Source organism: Homo sapiens, chromosome 20, assembly GCF_000001405.40.
Source record: "Homo sapiens chromosome 20, GRCh38.p14 Primary Assembly".
Taxonomy (NCBI): domain Eukaryota; kingdom Metazoa; phylum Chordata; class Mammalia; order Primates; family Hominidae; genus Homo; species Homo sapiens.
In genome coordinates, this window is record NC_000020.11 from 62796022 (window position 1) to 62814439 (window position 18418).

General features: G+C 61.1%; 2 protein-coding genes and 1 long non-coding RNA gene across 4 annotated transcripts, besides 8 other annotated features; 2 read left to right on the top strand and 1 right to left on the bottom strand.

Moving 5' to 3' along the window:
• Nucleotides 219-758: a silencer, noted in NCBI's record as "silent region_13120". NCBI's record gives its function as "represses an Ori minimal core promoter by ATAC-STARR-seq in GM12878 lymphoblastoid cells {active_cell/tissue: GM12878}" and the evidence as "EXISTENCE:reporter gene assay evidence [ECO:0000049][PMID:35858748]".
• On the top strand, nucleotides 452-5708 carry MRGBP (MRG domain binding protein). Of its 2 annotated transcripts, none has more exons than NR_136405.2 (5): nucleotides 452-650; nucleotides 1089-1210; nucleotides 2566-2647; nucleotides 2832-3028; nucleotides 3435-5708. NR_136405.2 is itself a non-coding variant. In NM_018270.6 (5 exons), exons 1-5 carry the CDS (start codon nucleotides 503-505, stop codon nucleotides 3620-3622), a joined length of 615 nt encoding a protein of 204 aa, NP_060740.1. In that variant the 5' UTR covers nucleotides 452-502; the 3' UTR covers nucleotides 3623-5708. The 2 variants fall into 2 exon arrangements, 1 of the variants encoding a protein (NP_060740.1); NM_018270.6 differs by having other exon boundaries at nucleotides 2954-3028.
• On the bottom strand, nucleotides 4606-9566 carry OGFR-AS1 (OGFR antisense RNA 1). Its single transcript, NR_102430.1, has 3 exons — nucleotides 9447-9566; nucleotides 5994-6088; nucleotides 4606-5058 (listed from the first exon to the last, which is right to left on the bottom strand). It is a non-coding gene; the product is annotated as an OGFR antisense RNA 1 (long non-coding RNA).
• Nucleotides 8587-9492: an enhancer, noted in NCBI's record as "H3K27ac-H3K4me1 hESC enhancer chr20:61435960-61436865 (GRCh37/hg19 assembly coordinates)". NCBI's record gives its function as "activates a minimal SCP1, AML or CMV promoter by ChIP-STARR-seq in naive H9 embryonic stem cells {active_cell/tissue: H9 hESC(naive)}" and the evidence as "EXISTENCE:reporter gene assay evidence [ECO:0000049][PMID:30033119]".
• Nucleotides 8587-9537: a biological region, named in NCBI's record as "H3K27ac-H3K4me1 hESC enhancer GRCh37_chr20:61435960-61436865".
• On the top strand, nucleotides 8814-17979 carry OGFR (opioid growth factor receptor). Its single transcript, NM_007346.4, has 7 exons — nucleotides 8814-9009; nucleotides 11516-11584; nucleotides 12226-12304; nucleotides 13564-13642; nucleotides 14478-14544; nucleotides 15441-15589; nucleotides 16209-17979. The coding sequence occupies exons 1-7, from the start codon at nucleotides 8839-8841 to the stop codon at nucleotides 17626-17628; spliced, it is 2034 nt and encodes a 677-aa protein (NP_031372.2). The 5' UTR covers nucleotides 8814-8838; the 3' UTR covers nucleotides 17629-17979.
• Nucleotides 9008-9077: a silencer, noted in NCBI's record as "silent region_13121". NCBI's record gives its function as "represses an Ori minimal core promoter by ATAC-STARR-seq in GM12878 lymphoblastoid cells {active_cell/tissue: GM12878}" and the evidence as "EXISTENCE:reporter gene assay evidence [ECO:0000049][PMID:35858748]".
• Nucleotides 9158-9307: a silencer, noted in NCBI's record as "silent region_13122". NCBI's record gives its function as "represses an Ori minimal core promoter by ATAC-STARR-seq in GM12878 lymphoblastoid cells {active_cell/tissue: GM12878}" and the evidence as "EXISTENCE:reporter gene assay evidence [ECO:0000049][PMID:35858748]".
• Nucleotides 9368-9537: a silencer, noted in NCBI's record as "silent region_13123". NCBI's record gives its function as "represses an Ori minimal core promoter by ATAC-STARR-seq in GM12878 lymphoblastoid cells {active_cell/tissue: GM12878}" and the evidence as "EXISTENCE:reporter gene assay evidence [ECO:0000049][PMID:35858748]".
• Nucleotides 9688-9747: a silencer, noted in NCBI's record as "silent region_13124". NCBI's record gives its function as "represses an Ori minimal core promoter by ATAC-STARR-seq in GM12878 lymphoblastoid cells {active_cell/tissue: GM12878}" and the evidence as "EXISTENCE:reporter gene assay evidence [ECO:0000049][PMID:35858748]".
• Nucleotides 12489-12538: a silencer, noted in NCBI's record as "silent region_13125". NCBI's record gives its function as "represses an Ori minimal core promoter by ATAC-STARR-seq in GM12878 lymphoblastoid cells {active_cell/tissue: GM12878}" and the evidence as "EXISTENCE:reporter gene assay evidence [ECO:0000049][PMID:35858748]".

Here is an 18418-nt window from a genome sequence, read left to right on the forward strand (position 1 = left end):
CCCCCAAAGTGCTGGGATTACAGGCGTGAGCCACCGCGCCCGGCCCATCTGTACATCTTCTTTGGAAAAATGTGTATCCAAATCCTTAGCCGTTTTATAGTTAGATTGTCTTTTTATTATCGAGTTATAAGAATTATTTATACCTTCTACAAGGAAGTTCATTATCAGATATAGGATTTGCAAATATTTTCTCTCATCTGTGGGTCGTCTTTTCACTTTTCTGATGGTTTCCTTTGAAGCACAGACTTTTTTGTTTGGGTGCAGTGTATTTCTTACTGTGCTTTAAAGAGGAACACGTTTTAAGAACCCCCGCGCGGGGCGGAGCAGGGCGGAGTCCCCGGCGGGAAGGGACCCGAGACCTCGGCTGCGCCTGCGCCGACGCCGGCGCGTGAGCCCGAGCGCGTACCCGGCGGAGCGCGCGCCCGCCCCCGAGTGCGCCTGCGCGGAGCTCGTGGCCGCGCCTGCTCCCGCCGGGGGCTCCTTGCTCGGCCGGGCCGCGGCCATGGGAGAGGCCGAGGTGGGCGGCGGGGGCGCCGCAGGCGACAAGGGCCCGGGGGAGGCGGCCACCAGCCCGGCGGAGGAGACAGTGGTGTGGAGCCCCGAGGTGGAGGTGTGCCTCTTCCACGCCATGCTGGGCCACAAGCCCGTCGGTGAGCGCCCAGGCTGCGGACGCGCGTGGGGGCGGGGCGGGCAACCGGCGGGGCGGGGCGGGGCCTGCGCTCGCGACACCCTCGCCCCCACGCTCCCCGCCGAGCCCGGGCCGTGACACCGCCGCCACACCCGTCCCGGGACCCCCGCCCCCTCCCACGCGCCCTTCGGACCCCGCCCCGGACCCCGCCCACGACCCCTACCCCCGTGAGACCGCGAGGTCCCAGCCCGCAGTGCCCCACCCCCACCCCCGCCCCGGGACAGCCCACCCCCTCCCACACACACCACCCAGCCCTGCCCCCCCACAGCCCCTCCACACCCTGGCCCTCCCCATCTCTCCGCAGCCACCCTTGCCCCTCCAGTCCCCAGGGCAGCCCGTCCCCTCCATCCCCTTTCTCCTCACCGCTCACCGGTTATCCCGCCGCCCCTCCTCCCCTCAGGTGTGAACCGACACTTCCACATGATTTGTATTCGGGACAAGTTCAGCCAGAACATCGGGCGGCAGGTCCCATCCAAGGTCATCTGGGACCATCTGAGCACCATGTACGACATGCAGGCGCTGGTGAGCCCAACCGCCCTCCCTGTGCCGCCCGATGGGGGCACGAACCCGCACACCGCTCTCTGAGAGTCAGCCTGAGCTGGGCAGAGGCCCCTCCATGTCTGCTGGGGTCTGCTGGGCAGAGTAGAGGCCCCTCCATGCCTGCTGGGGTCTGCAGTGAGCTCTCAGGGTCAGCCTGAGCTGGGCAGAGGCCCCTCCGTGCCTGCTGGGGTCCCCTGGGCAGAGACCCCTGCAGTGAGGCTCGTCCTTAAGGAGGACATCCCGGGGCTCCAGAGCCTGTCATGGAAAGCACAAACACAGTGCTAGCAGCTGGCTAGCTTTTCAGGGGCTCTGCTTTAGACTGGGTGCTGGGCCAGAGTCTCCAGCTGAGACCCTGGGGAGGGAGGGAAGGATGCAGAGTCCCGGGCCCTTAGGCCATTGTCAGCCTCCTGGGAGGCCCCCGAAGTGCTTTAGGCAGAGGGTGACCCTATCTGAGTCACACCAAGGTGAATTTGGTGACTTCTGTGGGAGTCAGACAAGTAGAGTTCCAGTCCTCGCAGAGCTTGGAGCTGGCACTGTGTGACGGGCGAGCGGGTTAACTAGGTAAGCAGGGTGGCCAGAAGAGACAGGTGGGTGTTCCAGGCCCTGTGGCAGCAGGAGGTGGTGGGTCCAGGAGCTCAAAGAAGGTGGTGTACTTGGAGAGTGGGGTGGGGGTCAGGGGTCAGGTGACCAGGAGGAGTGGGGACCTGTGCTGGTGGAGAGTCTGTGCCAGCCACGTTGGACTCAGGGCCACACCGGCCATCAGTATGACATAGGTCTCTCCCTCTGGTCTGTGCGACCTCAGGAGGGCAGTGCCTGGCAAGCACTCTCTTCTTCTTTGCCTGGTTCTGTGCCTGTGGCGCTCCCAACCGACACCCTCGGTGTCCATGGGCTCCTGCCACGTGGATGAGAACTCGAGGTGCCTGCGGCCTTTCCCCAGGGCTGTCACTGTGCCCTCTGCATGCCGCCTTGGGGAACGCAGTCTCATGGTGAGACTGCAGGCCGTGCTGGGCAGGCGGAGCCCACAGGTGTGTGTCACCAGGGCTGCCCGGTCCTCAGGGCCCGCCTTAGTGATGCTGGCCCCGGTGGGTCTTCCTGACTCCTGCATCTGCTGCCGCTGGTTCTGCCCTCCCTGGGTCTGTCTGGAAAGCCCAGCTGTGGCAGGCGCTGTTCACAAAAAGAAGAAATGCCCTTTGCCCTTGCCCCGCCCGCCGCAGCCTCCAACACAGTGATGTGTGCTCATTGGCCTCTCCCCAAGTGGCTCTTACACGGCTCTAGTGACTTCTTGAAACTGCATCTTCACCCTTGTTTCTTAAACAAAACTCTCTATTTGATATCAGCATGAGTCTGAGATTCTTCCATTCCCGAATCCAGAGAGGAACTTCGTCCTTCCAGAAGAGATCATTCAGGAGGTCCGAGAAGGTGAGGCTCGGGAAAGGTTGGGCTTGGGATTCAGAAAAGGCCAGACCCTGGCCAAGGGCAGGGAGGTGAGGGTGAGGACCCCGGGCCTCCAGGGAGGTGTGAGGGTCCAGCGCAGACCCCGCCCTACCTGTGCTTGGGTGGTCTTGGAACCTCCGGGATTGGAGAGGACTTTGTTTGAGAGCAGTGGCTGGACGGAAGCTGAGGCCTGTGTGGGCAGCAAGCGTCGGAGCAGTCCCTGGCCTGACCATCCCCCAGCGTCGGCCACCACCGTGGGTTTTCGGTGAGCGTCAGCTGTCTCCTCCACAGGAAAAGTGATGATAGAAGAGGAGATGAAAGAGGAGATGAAGGAAGACGTGGACCCCCACAATGGGGCTGACGATGGTGAGTGTGGAGCTCACCCTGCCCTGATGCCCTTTGGGGCTCAGCACCCCAAGACTGCCTTCAGGCAGGGCACAGTCAGGTGGGCGTAGAGCCTGCGGTGCAGAGGCCCCAGGCAGGTCATCTAGGCACAGGATGGATCCTGCAGTGCCCCCTCCCCAGGAGCTGAGTGCCTGCTCCATGTTGTAGGCCAGGGTCTGAGCGGCGGTCCCTGCAGTGCCCGCCGCAGGCAGGTCCTCAGGAGGACCAGGCCCCTCTGTGGGCCCAAATGCAAGGGGCTCCCAGCTCAGGAGGAAGCTTTGGGTTCAGAGGGTCACGTGTCAGTATGCAGATTTTTTTAACTGAACAGGAAGACAAAAATAAGATTCTGGATATTCTGTTTTCAGCCAAGTGATTTTTCGTTTCTCAGTTTTTTCATCTTCAGGGAGTTTGGGGAAAGCATCAGAAAAATCCAGCAAAGACAAAGAGAAGAACTCCTCAGACTTGGGGTGCAAAGAAGGCGCAGACAAGCGGAAGCGCAGCCGGGTCACCGACAAAGTCCTGACCGCAAACAGCAACCCTTCCAGTCCCAGTGCTGCCAAGCGGCGCCGCACGTAGACCCTCAGCCCTGGTGGCGGCAGAGAAGCGGGCGAGGCACTGTGGTCGCTGAGGGGGTTGGCTGGGTCTGAGTGCCACCCCCCAGGCCACAGTGATACCATCCCAGTGCCATGAGCCCACACTGCCCGCCCTCAGGCTCTCAGGTGAACGTGGCCGTCAGCGGGGAAACGTGTGTGTCAGTTGGACCATGTGGGACCCTGATGGACCTGAAAGACCAGGATCGGTCCAGCTCAGATATTGAGGGCTCTGAAGCCTAGTTCTGTCTTCTCTGGAGCAGCTGTGGCTTCCCCGTGGCTGCTTGGTGACATGGATTAGCGCTACGTGGGCTGCAGCATTTGGGATCCAGGCTACCTAGAGGGGCATCGGGCCAGGGAAAACCTCGGATTAGCAAGCAATAAAAACATGACCTCACTCTTCCTCAAAGGAGCCCCTGGTCTTCCCTGTGTGACTCAGTTCTTTCCATCTGTTTGTCCCGCTGCAAGCCTCTTTCTGCGCTGACTGTGACATTGGAACGTGGCCTTCCTGTCACCCCCTCCGTGCCACGCACTGAAGGCCACCCCCACCCACCTGGGAAACTAAGAACTGGATATTTTGCCTCATTCACTTGTACTGTAACAATGTATATAATTTGGTTGGTATTTCACTATTTAATTTTTAAGAAGCCTATTTTACTAGTGTTTTATATGAACAAAGTACTGCAGAAGTTAAACCTGTGTTGTATTTTTTCTGAGATGTTTTGCTTTAAGAGATACTTTTTGCTCAGTTTTTATATGCCAGATACAGAGAATTTGTAGCGGTTATTTTTGTATGATCTAGTAACTTGCAAACAGACCAAATGGATGAGAGGCGGGGACCGTGCAGCTGTCGGCTGATGAGGAGGCGGCCGCCCCAGTGCTGATGGAGATGCCACTTTCGTGTGACTGCGAACATTAAAGCACAAAAAAATCCAACCTGGAGTTGTGTGATTTTGATACCAAAGTAAGTTCACTTTTCCTCCAAAAGGAAGTTTTTATTTTTCCAAGATTTATAACTAAAGCATACACTTAGATGACTTATTAACATTCACTTGATACAACATATAAACAAAATAGTAACAGATTCTGAGTGGTTATTTTGTGGACTGTGACAAGCACTTCAAATACAAAATGTTAGGAGGGCAAAACGGTGCGGGCCCTCGTAGGTCAGGCAGGCACCAGTGGGCTCCTTCCTGCTGAAAGCTGCGGCTGTGAGATGAGACCGCTGGCTGGGTCACAGAGTGAAATCCAGCGTTCCGTGTGCGGACGAGGAGACAAGCTGTCCTGGCCAGCCATCGCACCCCAATGTCTTCAGCTTGACGTTGCTTCTCTGCCAGTGGAGCCTCCTCCACCACCTGGGAACATCCCTGGCCATCTGTCCCTGAAGTCCTCCTCACCATGACGCAGATCACAAGGCACCCACTAAAGGGGCAAAGCCAGGAATCCCGTGCCATGTGATCGCCCCGTGTGGCACCTGCCACTCGTCTGCACCAAACGCACTGCCAGTTCTGGGGAAGAACAGCCCAGGGAAGCTGCTGGTCTACGGCCTGCCTGAGCTGTATTCCAAGGGTAGAGCAGCTGCCTGGGGGGACCCTGTGGGTCCCTTTTCTATAGAGCCGGGACAAATCCACAGCCCTGCAGTAACAGCCTGCCACAAAGAGCAGGCATCTGGAGGGCCCCACACACATAGACCAAAGGACTGAGCCCGCCTGGCATTCCTCCACTCACAGCACAAATACTCAGCCCTGCAGCCAGGGAAGGGTGGGGTCTCCCTTTGCTGCCCAAGTGTGCCCCCTTGCCCGTCTGATCTCTCCTGTTAGGTCAGCCTCATTCAGGGCTTTGTGCCAGGTCCTGTCCTGGAGTCTCAGTCCGGGACAGCAGCCTGGCTCTTAGGCAGTCCAGAAGCAGCAGGGCAAAGGGGGGCAAATACTAACACGGGGTGTCACGGGATGGCCAGGAGGAGTCCTGCTCGCCACCCAGGCTCACTGTCCTAAACCTCCATCTGAAACCGCATCTCGGGTGACCTCAGATTGTGCTAGGAAAGCCTAGTTAATAAATCTGCCTCATCTCGATTACTGTAACATTTTGCTGCACTTCCAGGAGAAAGCTAGAGCCCACAGGTTAAGCCCACTGGGCAGGTGAGCAGCGTGCCCCCGCCCCGGGCCTCCCTTCTGGACCAGAGGCTGACTGGTTGAAGTCAGGAGCCACGCAGCCCTTATGGACTCACAGGGGCTTCTGGGCTTCCCTGTGGGGAGGCCCAGTTCATGCTCTGCTGGCAGGTGGGATGACCAGGTCAAATTCACAAGTGTCAGGGCAAGGGCGATGTGGCCTCAAGTCCTGGTAAGCGCTGTACTTACCCTCTCCTGGCCCCAGGGGTCCTGTCTGTAACCTGGGGGCTTTATGTAATGCACACTCCACCATGTCATGTAGAAGGTGCCGACTGAACCCCAATCTGAAAAGGAAAACAGCTGGCATGAGGCTGGCCCGTGCACGGACGCTCACGCGCCTGCTGCTGTAGAGGCGAGACGTGGTACACTGTGCACTCGGGACAAGATCTGAACGGGTCAGAAGCCGCCGCTGATGTTGAGCCTGGAAGCCTCAGCAGCGGCTCTACACCTGGAACACGCAGGGCCCAAGAGCACCTGCTGCCGCAGAGACATTTTCTCTATGGCTGGCAGCTGCGGGTGGGGACTCAGTGAAGGCTGAGAGTGGGAGTGATCTGAACTCCCCCGCCTGCCCACCCAGGGCGACCCAGGGGTGACTGGGAAAGGCAATTGGGCTCCACTGCTCCCCAAATAGCAGCGAATAAATACTGAGCGGCAGGGCACTGGCAGCGAGGCTCCCTGCTTGGCTGGTTGATTGAGGACAGGGCATGCTTGGGCCAAATCAGGAGGCTGCCACTGGTCTTGCCTGGAGAAGATATGAAGGCTGTAATCCAAGCTCCCAGCCACACAAAATTCTGCTGGGCTCCTTAGCTGTGAGCATTGCCTGCTCCAGGCACATCACCCACTGCGTGTGCAGAGACCATTGCCCTTCCTGGGTGCCTGGGAGCTGTGTGTGTGTGTGTGTGTGTGTGTGTGTGTGTGTGTGTGTGTGTGTGAGTATGTGACAGAGAAAGAGAGCCCCTTTCCCCAGCCTCAACAGCAAACCCTTCTGGAATGCCGTGCCACACGGGGCGTCACTGGACTGCAGAGGATGCTCTGAAGAAGCAATTCTGTTGCACAGTCCCCTGCAGCAGCTCCTGCACTTCTTGGATTAGCACGCCCCCGAGATGAGCTCTGCACACACACACACACACACACAACACAAAAGCAACTAAAGAAGCAATTTGGTGTGGTGATATTTGTAAAACAGAAGTTGGGCAATGTCTCTAATACTCTTTTTAGGGAAGTGGTTCTATAGTCCTGCCGACAGTAGGTAGCAGCGGGAATGCTGTCCCCGTAGAACAATGTTGTCAGCACCCAGTATGCTTGTCTTTCTGTTTTCTGGGGCAGTGGAGGGGGCAGCCTGACCACCCAAGTCTCAGATCACCCAAACCCTATACAACCACCCAGCACCCATCAATGTCCCCATCAGAGCCCCCCGACTCCACCTCACAGTCTATTCTGATGCTGCAACCAGATCCCACCTGTAAATCATCTAACAAGGAGGTCAGGCAGCTCACTCAGGCTCCCTGGGAAACCTGCCCTGGCCACTGCACTAAGTTGATTTACAGAAATGTCCAGCGCCCCAGAACTTCGGGGCATCACCACTGTCGTTTCAAGAAAGTGTGATGCATGTCCACAGGTTCCAGCCAGGTGAGACTGCACCTGCTAACAGTGGTCAACAGGTCAGCAAAGATTAGGGCCCAGCACCCAGAGGGTCCTTAACCTGTACTTGTGGCCAGGATTGGAAGACTTGCGTTCACGGCTGTCCCTGGCACACAGTACAAGGAATGTCACCAGTTCCCAGGCCCAGCAGGCCTGCAGGGCTAGGAGATGGCAGTGTCCCCTAGGGGCTGGGCTGGGGCCTTCTCCACCTTTCCACCACCATCATTACAGGGACAACTCTGCGAGGAGCTATCCTCATGGCCAAGTCCAAAATCCAGATTTAGTTTTACCTAAATGTTTTGAAATGAATTGGTATAGCAGTTACAGAAGAAATTTATCTGGAGTGGCCACTCCTGATTTTTATTTCAAGAGGTCACCAACCTTGCCATGTATCTGCCAGCAGATGTCAAAGGTGGATGAGCAAGGGACCCGCGGTGCTGGGAAATGGCAGGTGAAAGTGACTTTGTGTTGCCCCATATCTGCCAGTGCTTAGAGAGAGGGCCCTGAGGAGGCGCTGAACTGGCATCAGCTGTGTTGAACAGTCCCCAGGGTGACCCTCCCGGTGGCCCAGGCTTCGTGTGGTCCTCTCCCCTAAGTGCCTTCTTACAACTGAGAGATGGCGGCAAAGGTGAAGGAAGCCACGGCTTGCCCATGTCATCCTGGTTATATAAGACTCGGCACCCTAGAGAGAAAGACTCCCCTGGTGGCTTTGAAAAGAAAACGGCCGTGCTTTGCACTGCCTATGGAGGGACAGGGGTCCGCCAGCAGCTTCCAGGAGCTGAGTAAGGCCCCCAGCCCGCAGCAGAAGGACAGAGACCCCTACACACCCAGCTTAGGGAGAGAGGCCCCTGTGGACACGTGGCCCCTCCGGGGGTTATCCTCCAAGGGACATTCTTCTGATGGGGACATCCTCTGGGGGGATTTCTCTTGGGGGACAGAAATATTCCTGGAAGAGGGGATTCTCTGCGGGGCAGGCATCCTCCGGGGAGAGAATCCTGCTGGGAGGACATCGTCGGGAAGACATCCTTCCTAGGTACCCGGCTCATCTTCCGGGGAGACCGTCCTCTGGGGGGCGGGCAGGCTTTGGGGACATTTTCGGGAGGGAGGATCTCCTAGGGCGGGCATCCTTGCGAGACGGGGTGGGGCGAATCCTCCCGGGTGGGCATCGTGGGGTGGGGGTGGGCGTTCCGCGAGGGGCATCCTCCCGGGCGGACGTTGGGGGATTCTCGGGGGAGGGAGGGGCGCGGGGCGGGCGTCCCGGGGAGGGAGGGGCGTTGCGCGCGGACGCGGGCGGGGCCTGGGCCGCTCCGTCCCCTCCCCCCGCCCGCCCCCCGCGCTTCCTCTGCTTTCGGTTTCGCTTCCGCCTCCAGCGCGAGCCCCGCCGCCGCCGAGCATGGACGACCCCGACTGCGACTCCACCTGGGAGGAGGACGAGGAGGATGCGGAGGACGCGGAGGACGAGGACTGCGAGGACGGCGAGGCCGCCGGCGCGAGGGACGCGGACGCAGGGGACGAGGACGAGGAGTCGGAGGAGCCGCGGGCGGCGCGGCCCAGCTCGTTCCAGGTGCGGCCCCGCGGCGCGGAAGAGGCCTGGGGTCCCCGGCGCCCCCCGCCCGGCTGCGTGGACGGGAGACCCCCCCATCCCGGGCGGAGACACCTGGAGCCTCCTGGAGCTCCCGCAGCCCCGGGGACCCCCCCCCAGACCGGCCGACCCCCAGCCCCAGGGCCCGGCGGGGAAGTGCGGGGGCCGCGCGTGGGTGACAGCGGAGCTGAGCCTCCCGGGCCCCATCGTGTGTGGGCGCCGTTCCCCCCGGGGGTGCCTCGGGCGCGTCCCGCCCCCAGCCGCCGTGGCCGCCCCTGATGGAACCCCTCCCGCCTCGGGCCCGCGCCTCGGCCTCCTGGCGGCCCCTGCGCAGGCCCCGCGGCCTGGGGCTGGGGCTGGGGCTGGGGCTGGGGCTGGGGCCCGGGCCGGGTCTGGCCTGGGAGGCTTCGCGTCTGCACCTGCGGGAGCCCGGGGCGGGCCGACGGGGCCTCCGCTTGTTACTTTTGTTACCGCCGGGCGCCTGTCATCGCCGGGGTTACTTTTGTTGCCGCGCTGGGAACGCCACACTGTCGCAGTCCGGCCCCCCTGTCGGGGAGCTGGGATTGATCTGGGAGCGGCCTTCCAGCTGAGCTGCCCGGGTTGCGGAGGGCCGGGAAGTGCATGGAACTCGACGGCTCCGCATGGATTCTCCCCTTGGCACCCAGCACTGTTTGCGTTTGCGCCTGGCCATGGTGGAGCGGGCAGTGAGAGAGCACGGAGGGGCTCCGCCCTGTCGCCGGGAGGGCAGCGGCCAGGCAGGCTGGGCAGGGGGGTGGGGTCTGGCTCTGTCCCACAGGACGGTGTGACCCCTGGGTGGGCTCTTGACGGGCTTTCCTCACTGGAGTTCCTCAGGCCGCTCTCCTGAAGCGGTGCTCAGAGGCCCTGACCATCCTGCCAGGCGCCCGTGACCCCTGACCTCTTCCCTCTGCCTCCTGCTGTGGCTTCTGTCCACAAGCCCCTCCCCTTCCCCTTTGGACCCCTCAGGCCTCCCCAGCTGCCTGCGCTGGACCCTGGCGGGGCTGTTTCACTTTTTCCTGGGCAGTGTCATGTATGCACCTGTGGGCTGACTGTGTGGCCACATCCAGTCAGGACCCAGCCTCCAGAACTGACCCAGGGAGGCTCCCGCTGGCCCCAGGAAGGAGAAGTAGAAACTGATGATCAGGCGGGGCGAGAGAACCACACCAGCGGCCCTGTTGAGAAATCAGGCCGAGAGGTCGGTGGCGGTGGCTCAGGCCTGTAATCCCAGCACTTTCGGAGGCCTGGGCAGTCGGATCACCAGAGGTCAGGAGTCCAAGATTAGCCTGGCCAACATGGTGAAACTGTTGTCTCTACTAAAAATACAACATTAGCCAGGCGTGATGGGCACCTGTAATCCCAGTTCCTCCAGAGATTGAAGCAGGAGAATCGCTTAAACCTGGGAGGTGGAGGTTGCAGTGAGTGGAGATTGCCTGGGAGGTGGAGGTTGCAGTGAGTGGAGATTGCCTGGGAGGTGGAGATTGCATGAAGCTCCATCTCGAGGGGAAAAAAATAAGAAAGAAAAATCAGGCAGAGAGGCAACGCCAGGTCCCAGCTGGAGCTCAGCGGGGAGCCAGGGGATACAGTGGCTGACCGGGCCTCCTAACCCCCCTTCTAGCACTCCCCCAGGATCCTGGGTCCCAATTGTTGCCCTGGACAAATACGCCCATTCCTGCCCTACCCACCGAGTGAGGCTCAGCCCCAGGCCCCCCACCCTCATCACAAGGTCAGGGCTGTGTCCCACCATCCTCATCACTAGGTACTTCCGGCCCTTTGCTCAGCCCCATGATGCTTGGCCTGCAGAGATGGGGGCTGAAGGGCTTGGGGCATCAAGGGGACCTGACATCTTGCTGAGAAGCCATCACTAGACAGGGCTGGAGGCTGGAGACTCAGGGCCTGCCCTCACCGTGGCCAGTGAGGCGTGGGGTTGGGCAGGGAAGGGGCATTCATTCATTAGACCCTGCCAGAAGCACCTGGGTCCCCTTCTGGGGCTACAGGTGGTGAGGCCACTGCCCCCAAGAACACAGCCTGGTGACTTTAGTGTACAAAGCAGGGGGAGTCTCCAGGGGCACAGAACAGAGGCTAAAGCCAGGGTGGAGGTGGCCAGCAGGCCTAGGAGGAGGAGAGGGTCAGGGCCACACCCCAGGGGAGGTGCATGTCAGCCAGGGGCCACCCTAAGGTGGAAGCCAGGAGTCCCAAAGGGGCCTAGAGAAGGAGCAGCCCCCCACCTGGCTACCGCAGCCCTCTCTGGTTCTGTGCAGGGTATTGGGATGCGTTACTGAGGCCCAAATCTGCCCCACTGGGAACCCCCAAAAAAGAGCCAGGGCAGGAGAATGAGAGGGAGGAGCCATGAAACCCCCGCCCTTTAAAGACAGCTCTGTGGCAGCTGGCCCAGGCCCTGCAGCCCTCACCACGTTGGGACTCACTTGGGGGTCTCCCATGGGGGTCCTAATCCCATCTCTTTTCTTCCCAGTCCAGAATGACAGGGTCCAGAAACTGGCGAGCCACGAGGGACATGTGTAGGTATCGGCACAACTATCCGGTACGTACCTGCCCCTGCCCCGGGACACAGAACCCTCCCGCCAGCTGCTCTTCTCAGGCAGAATGTCCCAGGTTCTACTGGAAGGCTGGCCTGGCTTGCTGTGCCAGGGCCACAGTTCTGGGCAGGACCCTGCCTGGGGCACAGCCTGGTATAGATTCAGAGCCCTGCCCTTCCCCTCTCGCGGGAGACCGGGGGCATCCCCCTACTTTTCTGAGCTTCAGCACACCGTCGCCTTGCAAACATGGCCATAGTGCCAGCCTCGTGATGCACACGTGTGGGGTCCGTGATACCGCCCACACAGCACCCCACCCCCATGCCAGCCCTGTCTCCTGCAGGTTGTCCTCAGCCATTACCCTCCACACCCCTGAATCACGGAAACCCCTGTGCTGCCTTCAGGGTGCTGAGGAGGGGACCTGCCAGGCCTGGCCTGGCTGGCGAAATGGGGAAGGGGGGTCCCTGGGGCTTGGAGGCAGCTGCTGTCCTCTGAATGGCCCCCACCTGCAGAGTGAGGAGCCAGGCGGGCTCTTGGGGTATTGGGCCAGCCTGGAGGTTTGCAGATGCGCCTCCCCGAAAGACACGGAGGGCCCCAGGGCAGCTTGTGTCTGATGGATCCCTGCTGTCCCCTTTCTCTGGCTCTTCAGGATCTGGTGGAACGAGACTGCAATGGGGACACGCCAAACCTGAGTTTCTACAGAAATGAGATCCGCTTCCTGCCCAACGGTAGGTGCCTCACAACCACTGGCAGCCGGCGCTTCCATCCTTGCCTGGCAGGGGTGGTCCACTGGGCCCTGGTTTGGGATGTACCCGGCGATTACCAGGGCCACGGCTTTCAAATAGCCCCACAGTGCCCCCTGGAGGCGGCCAGAGGGACTCCAGGATCCCCGGCTTGGGATCTCCGCAGTGGTGTTTGGGTCGGGGTGGGCTATCTCTGTAAAGAGCCAGAGACTGAATATCTGCAGCTTTTCAGGCCACACAGTCTCTATCAAAACTACTGAACTCCTGCACGACCTCATGAAAGCCACATGTAAACCAACGAGCTAAGGATAGCTTTTATATTTTTAAATGGTTGCAAAAAATTAAAGTAGAGGCCGGGCCTGGTGGCTCACGCTTGTAATCCCAGCACTTTGGGAGGCCAAGGCGGGTGGATCACAAAGTCATGAGTTCGAGACCAGCCTGGCCAATATGGTGAAACCCTGTCTCTACTAAAAATACAAAAAAAATTAGCCAGGTGTGGTAGCGTGCGCCTGTAGTCCCAGCTACTCAGGAGGCTGAGGCAGGAGAATCGCTTGAACTTGGGAGGTGGAGGTTGCAGTGAGCCGAGATCTCGCCACTGCCCTCCAGCCTGGGCAACAGAATGAGACTCTGTCTCAAAAAAAAAAAAAAAAAAAAAAAAAAAAAGAACAGTGTTCTATTACTTTGATATTATAAGAAATTAAAATTTCAGTGTCAATAAAGCTTCACGGGCACGTGCCCACACCTGTTTATGCACGTGCCGGGCTGCAACGTGAAACAGAGACTGGGTGGCTGCACAAAACACTGTCAGGCCCCCATCTCAGGAGACTGTGCCTGCCACATCATGGGACTGGGTTCAGCTGGGGGCTGTGTTTGAGGACAGATTTCTGTGGCTGACGGGCCACGCTTTTGCAGGAGGCACTGAGGCCCCCTCCTGTACAGACAGGTCCTGGTCGAGGACCAGTGGTTCCCCCAGAGGGACCTTCCGGGCTCTCAGTGGGGTTTGCCGCCAGCCAGCAACAAGGGTCCAGGTCACAGATGGCAGCAGGGCAAGGGCTGTGCATCGGAGGAGGGATGGGCAGCCCCACTGAGCCTAGCACCCTGAAGAGCCTCAGGAGATGAGGGCGAGGAATAGCTTGGGGAAGCTGCTGGCAGCACTCTCTCCTTATGTCCCCCACCCACACCCCGTCCTCCTGAGCACGGGCAGGGTGGCTGCCACAGCTGACTTGTCCCCATGGGGCTCCCAGGCTGTTTCATTGAGGACATTCTTCAGAACTGGACGGACAACTATGACCTCCTTGAGGACAATCACTCCTACATCCAGTGGTGAGTTGGGGAGGATGGGGGGATGGGGGGTTGGCGAGGCCACAGGGGGAGGGCCCTCCCAGGCAGGAGCCCTCCCGACGCTGCTTCCTGGCACGGACTGAGCACTCCCTGCCCTTCCTGGAAGCTGGTGTCCACATTACACGGATGGACATTACTGGACATGCAAGGGCCGCTGAGGGAAGGCTCAGGTCTGTCCCCAATCTGTGGGCTCTTGGTGACCAGGGAGACAGGAAGGGCTGCACACAAGCTCCCTGAAACAGGAGAGGGGGCAGGCACTGCCTGCCAGAGGGGCAGCCTTAGTGCCAGGAGGCCTCAGTGAGCCTCAAGGGGCGGCCCCCGTCTCGGACTCAGCTGGGGCAGGGTCCTGGCGTAGTGCTGGGATGAGACTTGTGGCAGGCGTCTTGGGGACCCACAATGTGGCCCCGGAAACAGCATGCCCTGCTTTGGGGACAGCTCGCTGGGCGTCCACAGGGAGCCTCTGCTGGTGTGTGACGTGTCATGAGTGACAACACAAGAGAGGGAAGAGTGAGGAGTAGAAAGGAAGGCCCTGTCCGCCCGGGCTGGATGGCTGCAGGGCCCCTCGCTGCCTGAGTCACCTCCCCAGTCCTGCTGAGCATGCAGGCTGTGACTTACGCACCACACACCTCCTGTCCTGGGCCCTTGCACGCTCACCTGAGCTCTCCCACCCTCGCTCCTCCACCTAGCCACTCCCTCCTAGAGTTGAGCCTGGGAACCCAGAGGGGATTGGAACTGCCCCGGGCTACACAGCGAGCACCTGCCCAAGGTCTGGAAGCGGCTCTCCTAATCCCTTGCCTGAGCATCTCTTCTCCTGCAGGCTGTTTCCTCTGCGAGAACCAGGAGTGAACTGGCATGCCAAGCCCCTCACGCTCAGGGAGGTCGAGGTGAGCCAGGCCTTGGCTGTGACTGGAGGGGAAGATGGGGAGGCCTGGGCAAGCCACGCCGCTGCAGAGACGGGGTCGCCTCTGGCAGTAGGCATTTGGTGCCCCCTCAGGGGTCCCTTGGAAGGCAGAAGGGCCGAAAGAGCCTCCAGTATGATGACCTTCCCTCCCCAGTGGTCCTCACCCCACCAGGCATCTAGAGAAACTCAATTTCCGAGGCTGTTTGTCCCCATGCGGGAGTCTGGGGCTGAGCCCCTGAGAGACCCGGAGTGGCGGGACCTGCCTTTCTCACCACTGGTTTAGGCTGGAGTGGGGTCACCCAAGTGTGGAAGCTGCCCCTGAGGGATGCAGGGACTTAGAGAGCCGAGGGGCCCCTCCTGGCACTTTCCCATGGCCAGCGACTTCCTCTCAGGGGAGGGCGGCAGCCTCAGGCCCTGGTGAGAGCTCGGAGCAGCTCAGAGGAGAGATGGAGGCATGAGTGTGTCTCTTGTCACTTTACCCTAAAAGTCTGAGTCCAGGCTAGGTGCCGTGGCTCACGTTTGTAATCCCAGCACTTTGAGAGGCTGAGGCGGGTGGATCACCTGAGGTCAGGAGTTTGAGACCAGCCTGGCCAACGTGACAAAACCCCGTTTCTACTAAAAATAGAAAAAAATTAGCCAGGTGTGGTGGCAGGCAACTGTAATCCCAGCTACTCGGGAGGCAGAGGTTGCAGTGACTTGAGGTCACACCATTGCACTCCAGCCTGGGCAACAGAGCAAGACTCTGTCTCTAAATAAATGTCTGTCTGTCTGTCTGTCTAGTCCAGGCCTCTGAGTGAGTCGGGACCCACGGCCACCCCCACACTCAGGAACCGGGGCTTCAGGGATGGTGCCTGAGCTCTCCAAGGGGGTCTTTTCCAGGTGTTTAAAAGCTCCCAGGAGATCCAGGAGCGGCTTGTCCGGGCCTACGAGCTCATGCTGGGCTTCTACGGGATCCGGCTGGAGGACCGAGGCACGGGCACGGTGGGCCGAGCACAGAACTACCAGAAGCGCTTCCAGAACCTGAACTGGTGAGGCCCGGCTGCTCCCGCCCACCCCCACCCCGGCGCAGAACAGGGCCACGTCAGGTTTCGGGCAGGTCACAGAGCGCTGCTGCAGACGGAGAACTCCAGGGCTGTTTGGGCAATGGACCAAGGCCCTGAGTCCCCTCCTTGCTGCCTGTAGAGCCGGGCGGTCCCTCCCCGATAGGGTTGGTGAGAAGGTAAAGAATGCTCTTCCTGCACCCAGGAGGTGGCAGTCCACATAGAGAAGCAAGCAGGGGTGATGGAGAACCTGCAGGCGGTACAGCCAGTTCTCACAGGGTGTTCGAGGCGCCTGTACCCTGCAGGGGCCCCTTGTGGCTCTCATCCAGCCAGCTCCTCCCCACCAGGGGGACTCGGGGTACAGCCACCCTCTAGGTGATGCGTCAGCATCCCCCTAACCCCCGTGTGTCTAGGGCCCACAGGCCATTTTCACAGGGATGGCATGAGTCCTCCCCTGGGCCCAGAGAGGTAAATGGAGAGAGAGACTGAATCGTGGGCCAGGGTGGGGAGACCTCGTGGAGCCGGGTGGGAGGGCAGGCCAGGGCGGGGTGCGGCCCAGCAGGAGGGGCCCCAGCCATTGACCTCTCCTGACCCGGATCTCTCGCAGGCGCAGCCACAACAACCTCCGCATCACACGCATCCTCAAGTCGCTGGGTGAGCTGGGCCTCGAGCACTTCCAGGCGCCGCTGGTCCGCTTCTTCCTGGAGGAGACGCTGGTGCGGCGGGAGCTGCCGGGGGTGCGGCAGAGTGCCCTGGACTACTTCATGTTCGCCGTGCGCTGCCGACACCAGCGCCGCCAGCTGGTGCACTTCGCCTGGGAGCACTTCCGGCCCCGCTGCAAGTTCGTCTGGGGGCCCCAAGACAAGCTGCGGAGGTTCAAGCCCAGCTCTCTGCCCCATCCGCTCGAGGGCTCCAGGAAGGTGGAGGAGGAAGGAAGCCCCGGGGACCCCGACCACGAGGCCAGCACCCAGGGTCGGACCTGTGGGCCAGAGCATAGCAAGGGTGGGGGCAGGGTGGACGAGGGGCCCCAGCCACGGAGCGTGGAGCCCCAGGATGCGGGACCCCTGGAGAGGAGCCAGGGGGATGAGGCAGGGGGCCACGGGGAAGATAGGCCGGAGCCCTTAAGCCCCAAAGAGAGCAAGAAGAGGAAGCTGGAGCTGAGCCGGCGGGAGCAGCCGCCCACAGAGCCAGGCCCTCAGAGTGCCTCAGAGGTGGAGAAGATCGCTCTGAATTTGGAGGGGTGTGCCCTCAGCCAGGGCAGCCTCAGGACGGGGACCCAGGAAGTGGGCGGTCAGGACCCTGGGGAGGCAGTGCAGCCCTGCCGCCAACCCCTGGGAGCCAGGGTGGCCGACAAGGTGAGGAAGCGGAGGAAGGTGGATGAGGGTGCTGGGGACAGTGCTGCGGTGGCCAGTGGTGGTGCCCAGACCTTGGCCCTTGCCGGGTCCCCTGCCCCATCGGGGCACCCCAAGGCTGGACACAGTGAGAACGGGGTTGAGGAGGACACAGAAGGTCGAACGGGGCCCAAAGAAGGTACCCCTGGGAGCCCATCGGAGACCCCAGGCCCCAGCCCAGCAGGACCTGCAGGGGACGAGCCAGCCGAGAGCCCATCGGAGACCCCAGGCCCCCGCCCAGCAGGACCTGCAGGGGACGAGCCAGCCGAGAGCCCATCGGAGACCCCAGGCCCCCGCCCGGCAGGACCTGCAGGGGACGAGCCAGCCGAGAGCCCATCGGAGACCCCAGGCCCCAGCCCGGCAGGACCTACAAGGGATGAGCCAGCCGAGAGCCCATCGGAGACCCCAGGCCCCCGCCCGGCAGGACCTGCAGGGGACGAGCCAGCCGAGAGCCCATCGGAGACCCCAGGCCCCCGCCCGGCAGGACCTGCAGGGGACGAGCCAGCCGAGAGCCCATCGGAGACCCCAGGCCCCAGCCCGGCAGGACCTACAAGGGATGAGCCAGCCAAGGCGGGGGAGGCAGCAGAGTTGCAGGACGCAGAGGTGGAGTCTTCTGCCAAGTCTGGGAAGCCTTAAGGAAAGGAGTGCCCGTCGGCGTCTTGGTCCTCCTGTCCCTGCTGCAGGGGCTGGGGCCTCCGGAGCTGCTGCGGGCTCCCCTCAGGCTCTGCTTCGTGACCCGTGACCCATGACCCACAGTGCTGGCCTCCTGTGGGGCCACTATAGCAGCCACCAGAAGCCGCGAGGCCCTCAGGGAAGCCCAAGGCCTGCAGAAGCCTCCTGGCCTGGCTGTGTCTTCCCCACCCAGCTCTCCCCTGCGCCCCTGTCTTTGTAAATTGACCCTTCTGGAGTGGGGGGCGGCGGGCAGGGCTGCTTTTCTTAGTCTGATACCAAGCAAGGCCTTTTCTGAATAAATTCATTTGACTTTGAGTCTTTGGTATGGACCGGGGTCCTGTTGGGTGGCTGGTAGGGCTGGTGTCACAGCTGATGTCCCTCCAGGCTCCAGTGGCCTGGCCCGGCGACCGCCTCACATTGCTCCACCAGGTGCCTGTGGGGGCAGAGTGGTGGCCCAGCCCTCCCCACACACCCACTTGGCCACACAGTCCCCAGGCATGAACAGGTGGGCAGGCTGCAGCCTCCCAGAGCCTCTGAAGGTGGAACCGAGGTCCCTCAGCAGGCTTTTGCCACCTGTTCAAGATGAGTCTGGGGCTTCCCTTGGGGTTGGCCGGGGCAGTGCTTGTGCATGGTGGGGTCTGGACCAGGCCTTTCTGCCTGCTGTGATCTGGGATGCGCTGCTGTGCCTCGGGCAGGCTTGGCAGTACTCTCTGGCGGGCCCCTTGGCTCCCTCAGGTCTGGTGGAGCCAGGTGT